The following is a 14,772-nucleotide window of genomic DNA, read 5'->3' as shown; positions in this document are numbered from 1 at the left end:
CTGTAGTTTGGGAGAACATGACATTATCTCCCTTTCTTTACTGAAGGGTAGCAATATATATTTTAAATTTTCTAGATTCTGCATTTCCATTTTATTTTTACATGTTTTCACTTTCATATTTTGCATAGTGCTAAATCTGTGATAACAGTTTTTAATTTTCAGGTGGGGTTTATAGCTTCATAGATAGCAAAATGTCTTTAAGTCATGTTTATGCAATTTTTACATGTGCTTTGTGGGTTTTCTTTTTTCTCTGTTTGCATGCAGTGAGTGGTAAATTTGCATGGAACATTTGAAAAATAAGCACCAGAATGAATTGAATGTGTGTGAATTATCACTTTTTGTCACCTACCTGGACAGAGAGTGAAAGTTCTTCTGTTGAGACAAAATTGGATCTCGTGTGTTTCTTCACTTACTTGCTGCCTTGTTAATTGTTGAGTTTCTCATGATTAGCAAGATGTAAACTCTGGCATTGGTCATCTAGTCCTACATGTTAGATAATTCTGTGAATGTTTTGAAAATCAGCTGAACTATTTTTCTTATAATTTTGATTCTTTGTAGTTGTTATTTCCATGCTTGTGAATTTGGGACCAAAAGGAATGGCTATGACTTATGTTTCTTTGGATCCAGTAGTTTATTCTACTGAAATTATGGTAATTTTATCAGTTAGTAGAAGCATAGACTCTTTAGTGTTGAATATAATGTCATCTAACTTCTTACATGGTCACATAATTCCTCCCTCAGTTTTGGTAGCTCTCCTGAAACAGCCATAATAGGACATTAATCTGTGTACTTTAAGTTGACAGAGTAAAAGGAATATAAGATTTCACGTGATGGAACTTAAAATATTCCATCTTGTGACGTGGAACTAATGAGGAGGTTTAGTGACAAGTTTTAGATTTAAGATTCTACACTTTGGAGCCTCTTTTTCTTTTTCTTTTTGGTTTTTGTTTGTTTGTTTGTTTTTGAGACAAAGTCTAGCTCTGTTGCCCAGGCTGGAGTGCAGTGGTGCAATTTCAGCTTATGGCAGCCTTGACTCTCAGGCTCAAGTGATCCTCAGCCTCCCAAGTAGCTGGGACTACAGGTGCATGCCACCACACTTGGCTAATTTTTTTTAAAAAAGTTTGTAGAGAGTAGCCTCACTATGTTGCCCAGGCTGGTGTTGACCTCCTGGGCTCAAGTAGTCGGCCTGCCTCAGCCTCCCACAGTTATGGGATTGATTACAGTCATGATCTGCCTCACTCAGGCTGCAGCCGCTTTCTTTCAGTGTAACACTATCTTTGGATATTCCACTTACAAATTTATTTTTAAGTCTCCCATGTTGTTGATAATTGGGAAAAATAGTTTTTATTCCAGATAGATATTCTGTGTTAACTATAAGTCAAATGTTTACAAGCTGTTAAAAATGAAATACTGATTATGTAAAAGAAAACCGGATTGATGCTTTAAATAGACTCATTTTCCTAATGCTAATTTTTAAAATGATAGAATCCTACAACTCTTAGCTGTAAACCTTGTGATTTTTCAGCTGTTGTACTAAACAACTTAAGCACATATACCATCAGACAAGCCCCCCTCCCCCCTTTTAAACCAAAGGAATGTATACTCTGTTAATACAGTCAGTAAGCATTGACATTCTTTATCATAATATCCTAGAAAATATTTATTAACTATTTCACTAGTCAGGAGTTGTGGTAAATAGTGCATCTCCATTTTCTACTTCTCATCTTCATACACAGGTTAATCACTTCAGTGCTTGACTAACTTTTGCCTTGATGATATGTTGAGCTTTGTACTTGAGAGCTGTACTAATCACTGTGCTTATTGTTTGAATGTTTGGTACAGGAAGCGAGCAGCTGCAAAGCATCTAATAGAACGCTACTACCACCAGTTAACTGAGGGCTGTGGAAATGAAGCCTGCACGAATGAGTTTTGTGCTTCCTGTCCAACTTTTCTTCGTATGGATAATAATGCAGCAGCTATTAAAGCCCTCGAGCTTTATAAGATTAATGCAAAACTCTGTGATCCTCATCCCTCCAAGAAAGGAGCAAGCTCAGCTTACCTTGAGAACTCGAAAGGTGCCCCCAACAACTCCTGCTCTGAGATAAAAATGAACAAGAAAGGCGCTAGAATTGATTTTAAAGGTAAGATGTTTTATTTTCAATTGAGAATTGTTGCCTGAAAACCATGTGGGAGATTTAAATGTATTAGTTTTTATTTGTTTTTTCTTCTGTGACATAAAGACATTTTGATATCGTAGAACCAATTTTTTATTGTGGTAACGGACAGGAATAATAACTACATTTTACAGGTCTAATCATTGCTAATTAGAAGCAGATCATATGCCAAAAGTTCATTTGTTAATAGATTGATTTGAACTTTTTAAAATTCTTAGGAAAAATGTATTAAGTGGTAGTGAATCTCCAAAACTAGGCCACAACATCTATTTAAGTTATAGAATAACTGGACTAAGTATCTGGCATGAGTTCTGGAACCTCAGGATGATGTGATGAAAGAAGCAGAAAGAGGAAACAGTGGGTTTTTTCCATTTTTGAAGGCAAGACAAAATTTTGTGATAGTTATGTGAGAATTCTACGTTTCCTTCAGATATATGCTTCTCACTCTCCTTCCGGACATTTGGTACAGTCATGCTGCCAAGGATCATGACCTACCAATGACAGTCTTCACTCAGGTCTTTTGTTTTCTAAATGGTCCTACGTCCAAAATTCAGAATTCGATTACCTTGTCGCTAATACTAAAACTCCAAGTTATTTTCTTCAGTGAAGGTAATTAGTAACAAAGTAATCAAATTTTTGAATGACTACCAGGGCTTAGCGCCCCTCCACTCTCACCCCTACACACACCCAGAGGCAATTGTATTTTAAGAGAGAAAGCTTTTTTTTTATGACATACAAGTCAGAGAATTTTAGAGGCATTTGCCTCTAAAACTTTCACTAACATCATTTGAATCAAGTTTGAAAGAATTAGTGAAGTGGCATTGTGTTATAACCTCTACTCTGTTTCCACAATAAAATTATTTTCGTCACTTTACACAACTTTGTTGCTTCAGAGTGTATAATTCTGTTTCATGAATTAGTTCACACACTATGGGAAAATAGGTAAATGTTGTCTGTATATATAGTGTGTCAGTATAATGTGGAAGCTGCATTGACTTTATTGTACACAGTTCTCCAGTAAGTGTGCACCAGAGAGTACCAGTAACTGAATGTAGAGTGCTGGCACAGTGGAATGCAGCCAGCTGCGGGGGATGTGGTACATGAGGAATGTGCTCATCTGCTCTTTTGGCCACGTGCTCCATCTTAGAGGTGCTTATTGTGTGGCTTTATCCAGTCTTTATGCCCCCTCCTCTTTTTGCTCAAGTCTGCATTATAGCAGTTGTGACCTTTCCTTATCCCTGTTTTCTAATATGCTACTGTTACTGTTCCCTGTTCGTTACTGGTTTTTTTGTTTTTGTTTTTGCATTGTTCTATAGTTACTATTGTATATTGGAAATTAGAGATGCTTTCTGTACACTAGTACTCTTATTTTGATTATTAATTATGTTTGTTAACACTAATTACAAAGTTGCATAAGTATTAAGTAGTCTGCACCAAACTGTTTTTGCGTAGGAGGTTTTTAAGTGCAAAATTTAAAAGATTGAGTATTTTCAGGGACACATTTATCACAAGAAATCTTATAAAAATGTCTTTCTCAGTAGAACACCTGTATCAATAAACCAAACTTTTTGAATGTTCATATCTAATTACAGTGTTTTTTGACTAATTTTTATCTATATACCTGAAAAATTCAGTTTAACATATTAAACACTACAGGCCAGGCACAGTGGCTCACGCCTGTAATCCCAGCACTTTGGGAGGCTGAGGCGGGCGAATCACGACGTCAAGAGATCGAGACCAACCTGGCCAACGTGGTGAAACCCCCTCTCTACTAAAAATACAAAAAAATTAGCCAGTTGTGGTGGCGTGCATCTGTAGTCCCAGCTACTTGGGAGGCTGAGGTAGGAGAATCGTTTGAACCCGGGAGGCAGAAGTTGCAGTGAGCCGAAATGGTGCCACTGCATTCCAACCTGGCAACAGAGTGAGACTCCATGTCAAAAAACAACAACAAAAAACACTCCTTGGAAAAAGTATAGGTACATTCTATATAGGATTAGTAGACTGTCAGAATCACTTGAAGATGTTCCGAAAGCATGACATATCAACAAAGGACATGTGAGTCTAGAATGGTGATCCCTAGGACAGGCCATATTACTGCATGCAAAGCAAGTCTTTGTTAACCTTATGACTTGCTCAGGAAGCAAAGTGTTTCATGTCCTAATAGGATAGTAGTATTTTCTGTTATGTTACATTTTAGGAAATTAGGAGTTTTGCATTGTCTTGTAAGAAGGTATTTTAAAAATTTTCAATGAAAATAATGAGAAATAGGTTTCCAGTGGTTTTATGCTTTTGGGGAAGAGGTTACTGATGTTTAGCAAAAGATGCTTATATATTCTTAATAGAACAAACCTGAGAATTAGTTCTTAAAGAGTTAAGGCCCATAAAAGAAACTGTAAGTGTTGGTACTCTTGTAGCTGGGCCACAGATCAGATCCTTAGTATGATAAAATTTGGTATTTTTGTGCTTCAATTTTTGGAGACCATTCAATGATCACTTACATTTTATATTGTCTTTCATTGTGAAACATATATTATAGCAGAGGTGGGAGTCATTAAAAATTCTACATGTTGTACACTACATGTATAAGGGTATATTTGGCGCAATGGAGGTAGGATTGTCTGTGTGCCTCTAAAATTAACCTCTCAAGTAGTTAATCTGATGATGACAAGTATGTCACTTTATTGATAAAAGGGAGAATTAAGACTATTCTCAGTATTATGTTGGTCAGTACACAAAATATATCATTTGTTTTTACCTGTGAAATGAAATATCTTTCATCCTATTAGCCAGAAGGGAGAAAGCCTTGGCCTGAAAATAACACTTATCTCAAAAAGTTGGGAAATGTGGTCCAACTCTGTGCCCAGGAAAAGAGGAAATAGATTTTGATGACTACATAGTCTCTGCACTGCTTGCCAGCTCATAAGTTTACTTCTTTGCACTGTTTGTTTTCATTGCTCAAAAACTATTTTCTGTCACTCTATGAGATTTAGTCTAACCTGATTCCTGGCTGTGGAAAGCAGTTTCTACTTAAGAGCCGATGAGAAATGGTATATTCTTCTCAATCACTCACAGAATGACTACCCTGGAACAAACTAGGAAGACCCAAAATGAACCAGTTTGATTTTAATACATACATAGATGCTGAAGGAGCCTTTTTTTAAGACCTTGCCTTCTTAGTCTTTGGAGAACAGAGTACTGAAACAAGAAAACTCACAGATTAGTAGTATTTCTGTGTGTTCTACAGTGAGGTTTTAAGAGCTGTATTATGATTAATCAGTACATGACATATTGGTTCATATTTATAATTAAAGCTATACATTAATAGATATCTTGATTATAAAGAAAGTTTAAACTCATGATCTTATTAAGAGTTATACATTGTTGAAAGAATGTAAAAGCATGGGTGAGGTCATTGGTATAGGTAGGTAGTTCATTGAAAAAAATAGGTAAGCATTAAATTTTGTTTGCTGAATCTAAGTATTAGATACTTTAAGAGTTGTATATCATAAATGATATTGAGCCTAGAATGTTTGGCTGTTTTACTTTTAGAACTTTTTGCAACAGAGTAAACATACATATTATGAAAATAAATGTTCTCTTTTTTCCTCTGATTTTCTAGATGTGACTTACTTAACAGAAGAGAAGGTATATGAAATTCTTGAATTATGTAGAGAAAGAGAGGATTATTCCCCTTTAATCCGTGTTATTGGAAGAGTTTTTTCTAGTGCTGAGGCATTGGTACAGAGCTTCCGGAAAGTTAAACAACACACCAAGGAAGAACTGAAATCTCTTCAAGCAAAAGATGAAGACAAAGATGAAGATGAAAAGGAAAAAGCTGCATGTTCTGCTGCTGCTATGGAAGAAGACTCAGAAGCATCTTCCTCAAGGATAGGTGATAGCTCACAGGGAGACAACAATTTGCAAAAATTAGGCCCTGATGATGTGTCTGTGGATATTGATGCCATTAGAAGGGTCTACACCAGATTGCTCTCTAATGAAAAAATTGAAACTGCCTTTCTCAATGCACTTGTATATTTGTCACCTAACGTGGAATGTGACTTGACGTATCACAATGTATACTCTCGAGATCCTAATTATCTGAATTTGTTCATTATCGTAATGGAGAATAGAAATCTCCACAGTCCTGAATATCTGGAAATGGCTTTGCCATTATTTTGCAAAGCGATGAGCAAGCTACCCCTTGCAGCCCAAGGAAAACTGATCAGACTGTGGTCTAAATACAATGCAGACCAGATTCGGAGAATGATGGAGACATTTCAGCAACTTATTACTTATAAAGTCATAAGCAATGAATTTAACAGTCGAAATCTAGTGAATGATGATGATGCCATTGTTGCTGCTTCGAAGTGCTTGAAAATGGTTTACTATGCAAATGTAGTGGGAGGGGAAGTGGACACAAATCACAATGAAGAAGATGATGAAGAGCCCATCCCTGAGTCCAGCGAGCTGACACTTCAGGAACTTTTGGGAGAAGAAAGAAGAAACAAGAAAGGTCCTCGAGTGGACCCCCTGGAAACTGAACTTGGTGTTAAAACCCTGGATTGTCGAAAACCACTTATCCCTTTTGAAGAGTTTATTAATGAACCACTGAATGAGGTTCTAGAAATGGATAAAGATTATACTTTTTTCAAAGTAGAAACAGAGAACAAATTCTCTTTTATGACATGTCCCTTTATATTGAATGCTGTCACAAAGAATTTGGGATTATATTATGACAATAGAATTCGCATGTACAGTGAACGAAGAATCACTGTTCTCTACAGCTTAGTTCAAGGACAGCAGTTGAATCCATATTTGAGACTCAAAGTTAGACGTGACCATATCATAGATGATGCACTTGTCCGGGTAAGTTGGGCTGCTAGATTAAAAACCTAATAATGGGGATATCATGATACAGTTCAGTGAATTCATTTTAAAAGTGACTGAAAAAAATGATACCATATAGCATAGGAACACATGGACATTTCTGATCTTATATAAGTATTATACTTTTGTTGTTCCTGTGCAAGTTTATAGATGTGTTCTACAAAGTATCGGTTGTATTATATAATGGTCATGCTATCTTTGAAAAAGAATGGGTTTTCTAAATCTTGAAAACTAAATCCAAAGTTTCTTTCATTCAGAAGAGAATAGAGTGTTGGACAAAGACCAGAACAAGAGAAATGTGGAGATACCCAATAATAAGTGTGGATGTGCAGTCTTGAACTGGGAGTAATGGTACAGTAAAACCATACCATAAAATTATAGGTAGTGTCCAAAAAATTCCATCGTGTAAAATTCAGAGTTGCATTATTGTGGACTTGATGAAGTGACCATGGCAGATCAGTGCCTGTTGCCAGTAAGAGTTGAGTCCTGCTGGGCCACTTAGAATATCCCTGTGTGGACGGCACTGCCTGGCTGTGGTAGTTTCTTCCCACTTAAAAATTCATAGAGACAACTCTGGGTCTTGGAACTTCTGGAAAACAGCAGCTATTCCAAAAATCTGGGGATTAGTGGTGCCTGTAACATCAAGTCCAGGGAGATTGAGCAGGGAAATACTGGAAACTCAGGTACTCATCCTAACTTCCTGGTTTTCCAGATGGGGTTGCCATTTGTTCCTTTTCTTTCCTCCACAAGATAATTTTAGTGTATCTGTTTAAGAATATAAGAGTGGCCAGAAGACAGAAAGCAGTCGTCAGTCACATTTCACCAAAATTTACATTTGTCTCAGGTGCATTATCGCAGAGCTTTATTGTATTTCTAGTATTAGCTATCCCTGTCATTGCTGCTACTTTTTTATCATCTTCAAGTAAAATTTAATGTCAACAAAAATTAAGGTAGTTAATAATACTATAGTATACTAGTAAAGTTGTCTGACACAGACAACTAGGAAATGTGATTTTTACTTTAAAATGTATTTTAGTTTTAGAATGTCTAAATTTTAGTTTTAGAATTGTCTAAATTCGAGAATTCATAAAGCTGTAGCCCGGTGGAAAAAGTTATTTGACATCTCAGAAATTAAAAATTGCAGAGATTTTGTGTGTTTTTTTTTTTTTTGTTACTGGTTTGTTTTTTTTTTTTAATGTCAGATATGTTTATAGTGTTGGAGAAAGATTCTGCATTATTTAAGCAACTCAGGTGGTTTTCTAGCAGAGACAAAAGGGGGCTTTAACTGCCTGAAGTCATTATTATTGCTTGCTTTCTGGTACCCTTTTTATTTCACTTACATAGTTTTGAGACACATGAATAATTAATACACTTAATGACTGATCATAAGGCAGCCAGCACCTTACTTTACATAGTTTAGCAGAATGATAGGGTATTTTATAAGAATGTGAGTGATGTTTTATGAAAGGTATGTTGAGGTCTGTCTATGACTATCCATTGTTGGAGCAGAACTGCAAATGCCAAAGCTACATACTTTATGTTTGGCTTCTTGAGGTGAGATCCCTTCAGCTGTCTTCATCAAAAGCTATGTCTAGCCTTTAAAAGGCAATGAAATTACACTGTAAGAATCATTCCAGGGTTCAAAAAATTGTCTACCTTCCTTATCTGTCTTTCGCTCAGAAGTCTACTCAGTCTTATTTTCCTCAGTCCCCCATTTTTTTCTCTAGTAAAGCAAGACTAAAAACAAAAGTTTAAGTACTTGGTATATACTTTATTCTATATTTTAAATTCTATTCTAGAATTTTAAGGAAACAACTGCTTTTAAAGCCTTAGGTGTTAGTGTAAAATTAACTGTGAGCTCTTTAATTATGGTAACTTGTTTTTAGCAAGTTCTGCTTAATTATATCAAAATTAGATAATATAGTGTGGCCTATCATAAATCAGGATTCACTAGATAGTATATGTACTTGAATATTGCCAGCCCACAAAAGCAGTTCACTTCAGAAATCATGTGTGTTAGGCAGTTTAATAAACTGTGAAAATAGAAAGAGATGATGCTTACAGAGAAGCTTCCTTAGGGGCTCTGAATGCTCACACTAAGCAGATTTTACTCTTAACTTTCTTTCTCCCTTGCTTTTTCTTCCTTTTCTTTTTTTTAAAAAAATAACAGAATGTGAAAAGACTAGAAAAACCAGCATCGAAATAGGTCTTATAAGTAAAATTGATAACCTGTGTAATTTTTTGAAGTAAGTATTCACAGCAGGTGATGATTATGATAAAGCCACATATTTTAGTAACACATAGTAGAAGTTCTATAATAGAAAGTGGTTTAAGATTATTCTCTCATATGAAAGCTCAAAAGTGATGAATTTTTCAAGATCTTATTTCCCAAGGATCTCTGCTTTTTAAGCCTCATTCTTATATATCACAGTGAACAAACTAGTGGCCACTTTTTTATGACTTGCTAATTTTGGAATTGTATAGCAGGGTTGGGTGGAAAAGAAGAAATGAGAAACTTTGTGGTAAGCTTAATATTGATAAATAAAATTATGGGATCCTAGGCTTTAAGAGCTAAAAGAAACCTTAGAGTTATCCACTCCTTAGTTTAGAAATCAAGCCCAGAAAATAGTGACTTCATATATGAGACTCTTGTATGTTTTCTGTTGAGGAGTGGTAACTTGAATTAATAATTGTGGATTTTTTTAAAAAAGAAAAATATATTCATTGCTTTTATATATTGTGAAATTCAAACCAGACTAGCAGCTTTTTTCCTGAGGTTTTTAGAGAAATTGTCTTTGATGACAAGAGAAGAATTCATGTTGATAGTATTTTCACTAATCTCTGATTGTAGGAAACACTATCATTTTATTACTGCTAAGACAGAAAAATACCAGCAATTCATTGTAAGATGCTATCATTTGTATGGTGTAATCTGATTTCAGAGATAATGTGAAAAAAGTGAATTTTAGAATCAATAGAATATAAGTTGTCTCTTCACAAATACCTTAGAACTGCTTAAGAACACCCCCACCCTACCCGTTTAACTTACTGCCATAGTTCCCCTAGGACTTATTTTCAGTATTTTTTCGTTATTGTTCCTTAGAAAACAGTACAGTGATAAACATGAGCTTAGACTTCACCTTTCATTTGAATGACATTCCTAATGTGATGAGGTTTTTACAAATATGTAAAACCATATTTACAAATTTACATTTTTAATATAAATATGTAATTTAATTTAATATGTAAATTAATTTAATTTAAATATGTAAATATTTACATATTTACAAATATGCAAATATTTACATATTTACAAATATGTAAATATTTACATATTTACAAATATGTAAATATTTACATATTTACAAATATGTAAATATACCCATTTGTGTGTTCTTTTACAAGTAGATAATTTCTCATTTTTCTTAGATGAAGCACTTCCAATGATAGTATGTATTAAGATTTTTTAAATTACTTCTTAAAGGAGAAGATAGAGGTTATAAGTTTATGGAAGAATATAGTATTGCCATCATGAGGTCCCTCAAACTGCCTTCACATCTGAATGGGAAAATTGTTTAAAAAAAATAAATAAATAAATAAATAAAATCCAGGGCCCTAACCTCTAGAGGTTTAGATTAGAAGCTGTATTGTAGAGCCTATGAATCTGAACTTCTGGTAATACTCCACAAATATTTTGATAAAGCCAGACTCCAATATTTGGGAAGATGGCCTTTGGTTCAGCTCAGGTGGGGGTGTGTGTGCATGTGTGTTTATGTGTGTATGTGTGCATATATAGAGAGAAAGAGAAAGGCCATTTTGATATACAAGTATGTTTATGTGTTTTGGAAACTCAGATTTTTAAGAGGATCATGGGGACAGCAAGCTTGGAATAGAGGATGATGATGATGTGAAACTTGGTTCCAATTAGTCAGGGAGTTCTAGCATTTCACATAAATATCTAAAAACCAAAAGGAATGGCTGAGATGTGGAATTGAATAGGGAAGTTCAAAAATAGGAATTAGCACAGATAAAGGTGATTGGCACAGATAAAAAGCCCCACTACCAGGAGGTTCTGCAAAATCCCCTCTAAAAGTCACTGGCCCTTTTTATCTGGTTTCTAATAGCCTAGTCTAACCCAGCTTCCAGCATTTTCAGCTCCCAGCTTCCAGCATTGGTGAACACTCTTACTAGTGAAACATGAACGTAATTCTTTTATTTATTCATTGACTCACAGAGCTTTAAAAATGAGATTATTCTGTGCTGCACTAGGTATGTTTAATTTTGTCTTACACATACACTATATTGTGGTTAACATGTAATTTCCATTGTTCTTTCTTGTGATTTATTCTAATTGAAATCAAAAATGAAACCAAGAAATATGCTTGGTTTATGCCCTCAAAGTAATTTCTCAGAAACTGAATGAGAGAATGAAGCCTATATATACATAGATCCTCAGCATTATATAATAATTTAAGACAATGAAACATCAAACTTAGTATTACATGTGAGGAAAATGAAATCTAAAAGAGATTCCAGCCTACATAAATTAATGGCAGAATTGGAAATAGAAGTCAGGATTCCAGGTCTCATGGACGAACGTGATTATGTGATTTGGTGTTACCCAAACATTTAAACTACATTTGAGATATAACAGACTTTTCTTCATGTGTTTATCGTGAACATGAAAAAATTAATTTGGATAATCTGGAAATCTCAAGCAATAGTTTAAGCCTCAAGTTGACTGAAGTAGTTGAAGCTAGCCTTTCTTTCTTTTTCCTCTTTTTTTTTTTTTTTTTTTAGACGGAGTCTTGCTCTGTCACCCAGGCTGGAGTGCAGTGGCGCAATCTTGGCTCACTGCAAGCCCCGCCTCCCAGGTTCATGCCATTCTCCTGCCTCAGCCTCCCGAGTAGCTGGGACTACAGGCGCCTGCCACCATGCCCAGCTAATTTTTTTGTATTTTTAGTAGAGATGGGGTTCACCGTGTTAGCCAGGATGGTCTCAATCTCCTGACCTCGTGATCCGCCCGCCTCGGCCTCCCAGAGTGCCGGGATTACAGGCATGAGCCACCACGCCCGGCCTTGAAGCTAGCCTTTCTTAGAAATCCCAGGCATTCTTAAGTATTAGAGGTCTCTTTTATCTGATTATTGCTTCTACTTAAATATTCATGGTATTAAGGAATTTTTTTAAAAAATTATGAATTGATTTGATGTAATAGCTCAGAAAACTATAAGATTTTAAGTGATAAGGTTTTCCTTTTGATTCCTGTAAGTCTAGTAATATCATATTTTGATATTAAGATGTCATCCTGCTAGGTATTCTGCAAATGCTTTGATATCAGGTCAGATTTTTTTTTTAAAAAATGAACTCCCTAGGATTTCATCATCATGGCCAATTAAAAAGTTCAGAAATTAAAAATCATTTTATCCAGCAATTGATGAAATCAAGAGTCTTAAAGAAGAGGAAGTTACGCAGTGAAGAGGTAGATATGATTATATCCAGGATATTTTTGTTTATTTTTCCCCAGTAATCTCTGTCTGTTGCTAGTCTCCATGTTAAATAAATACAACATACACTGTACTTTTAAATATACCTAAAAATTGGCCTGGCGCGGTGGCTCACACCTGTAATCCCAGCACTTTGGGAGGCCAAGGCGGGCAGATCACAAGGTCAGGAGACCGAAACCATCCTGGCTAACACAGTGAAACCCCATCTCTACTAAAAAATACAAAAAAAAATAGCCAGGCGCGGTGGCAGGCGCCTGTAGTCCCAGCTACTCGGGAGGCTGAGGCAGGAGAATGGCATGAACCTGGGAGGCGGGGCTTGCAGTGCGCCAAGATTGCGCCACTGCACTCCAGCCTGGGCGACAGAGCGAGACTCCGTCTCAAAAAAAAAAAAAAAACAAACAAAAAAAACCCTAAAAATCCACGTGTGTATTGTAAATAAATTCAGGCATGCATGCACGTTCTCCTTTTCAGAATGTTTAGACATAGTCCTCCAAATTTCAAATATCCTAATGCATTTAAAACAACTTCTGACTTAAAAAATACAGTTTTATGGTGAGGTTTGGGTTTAAACAACAACATACAATTTTAAATAATATAGCTATTATGTAAAGAATACACCTTTACAGTTTATTTGTTAAATCTTTTTTAAATTGACCGAACAATTGATGGAGGTTATTTTTAAGAAAAAGAATTATCAGTACAGCTGTTTATGCAATAATGGCCTTTATCAAAATGGTTATTGCTAAATTTTATGTGTTAATAATTTAAAATAAAATAGTTTTAAAGGCTATTTATGTATTCTGTTTTTACTATTTTATTTATTTTAATTTTTGAGACAGGGTCTTAACTCTGTCACCCAGGCCTGGAGTACAGTGGCACGATCTCTACTGACTGCAGCCTTGACCTCCCACCTCAGCCTCCCAAGTAGCTGGGATGACAGGCGCATGCCACCACCCCCCACTATTTTTTATTTATTTATTTATTTATTTATTTATTTATTTATTAGTTTTTTGTAGAAACAAGGTTTCATCATGTTGCCCAGGCTGATCTCAAACTGCTGGGCTCAGGCAATCTGCCTGCATTGGCCTCCCAAAGTGGTGGGATTACAGGTGTGAGCCACGGCGCCCAGCCTTTATTCTTAAGTGGTACAGTATTTTATGAAATCACTTATGTGTACCAGAATGGTAATCTAAAATAGGTAATAACAAAATTTTTGCCTACAGAATTCAGTTACCAACTACTTTTCAAATTATTCTTTTTACATATTTATATTTGAACACATTCTGACTCTGAAAAATGTATTTGTTGTAAAAAATGGAAAAATATGGAAAAGAATAAGGAAAATAAAAATCACTCATAATCCTAAAAAAAAAATTTTTGGTCGTCATTGAAGAGAGTGAGTAAAGCATAGTAGTTAAGAGCTTGTTTCCTGGATTAGTATCTCTGTTCCACAACTTACTGTGACTTACTGTGACTTGAAGTTATTTCACCTTTCAGTATCTTGGGGTCCTTATCTGTAAAGTGGAGTTAATGTTTCCTTCCTCATAAGGGTGTTGTGAAGATTAAATTAGTTGCTATGTGTGAAATGCTACAAAAGTGCTATATATTATTGTTGCTGTATTCATGGAATATTTTTGTTCTATAATGCTATGGTAGGTTTTCAGAAAATATTTTAGAACCAATAAAATAACAGCAACAACAGCTAGTACTTTTAAGCACTAACTTTATGCAGGGAATTAATCTAAGCAGTTCATACATTAATTTATTACTATATTATTATGGTTATTTTACAGATGAAATAAGAGAGGTAAAGTTGTATGTTTGCATTTACAATAGAACATATTGCATTGCATTACATTCTTTTGGCACCAAGGTGGGGAGCATAGAATAGAGATCAGTGGAAGTGGACAGACATGTAATATTTTATGGAGAATAAAGATAAATTTGCTTCAGTTATCATTTGACATGTCTTAGGTAGAGCTAAGACTAGATAGAACACAGGGCCTCTCAATCCTGTAGAAATTCACCACCACATCCTTTAAAAGGTTTTACATTGATAAGGAGTCAGCTCTCATCTATGAATGTTAGTGGGGAAAAGCTGTAGAATGCACAGTCTAAATACCAGATAACCTTTTTTTTCCCCACTTTGGAATACATTATATTTGATAAAAGCAAGTATACCTTTGGATGTAAAGGTAAATATAAAC

At 35.2% G+C, this 14,772-nt stretch overlaps 1 protein-coding gene and 1 long non-coding RNA gene across 50 annotated transcripts in view; one reads left to right on the top strand and one right to left on the bottom strand.

Annotated features, from left to right (window-relative positions):
- The window catches only part of SNHG14 (small nucleolar RNA host gene 14), a 595,855-nt gene that overhangs the window by 41,857 nt on the left and 539,226 nt on the right, over window positions 1-14,772 (bottom strand). The window lies entirely within an intron of this gene.
- Window positions 1-14,772, top strand: part of UBE3A (ubiquitin protein ligase E3A) — a 105,329-nt gene that overhangs the window by 61,451 nt on the left and 29,106 nt on the right. For 47 of the 49 annotated variants that reach the window (NR_148916.2, XM_017022548.3, XM_017022547.3 and 44 more), the window contains 2 exons: window positions 1,843-2,141; window positions 5,794-7,040. Coding sequence is in view for 48 of the 49 variants with exons in the window: in XM_017022548.3 (XP_016878037.1) it covers window positions 1,843-2,141; window positions 5,794-7,040 (1,546 nt within the window). In the remaining variant the exon portion in view is untranslated. The remainder of the gene's footprint in view (window positions 1-1,842; window positions 2,142-5,793; window positions 7,041-14,772) is intronic. The other 2 variants (NM_001354551.2, NM_001354550.2) reach the window with 1 other exon arrangement.

Source organism: Homo sapiens, chromosome 15 (assembly GCF_000001405.40).
Source record: "Homo sapiens chromosome 15, GRCh38.p14 Primary Assembly".
Classification (NCBI taxonomy): Eukaryota; Metazoa; Chordata; class Mammalia; order Primates; family Hominidae; genus Homo; species Homo sapiens.
The sequence above is the reverse complement of the archived record's forward strand: the minus strand, read 5'-3'. Positions and strand labels throughout refer to the sequence as shown.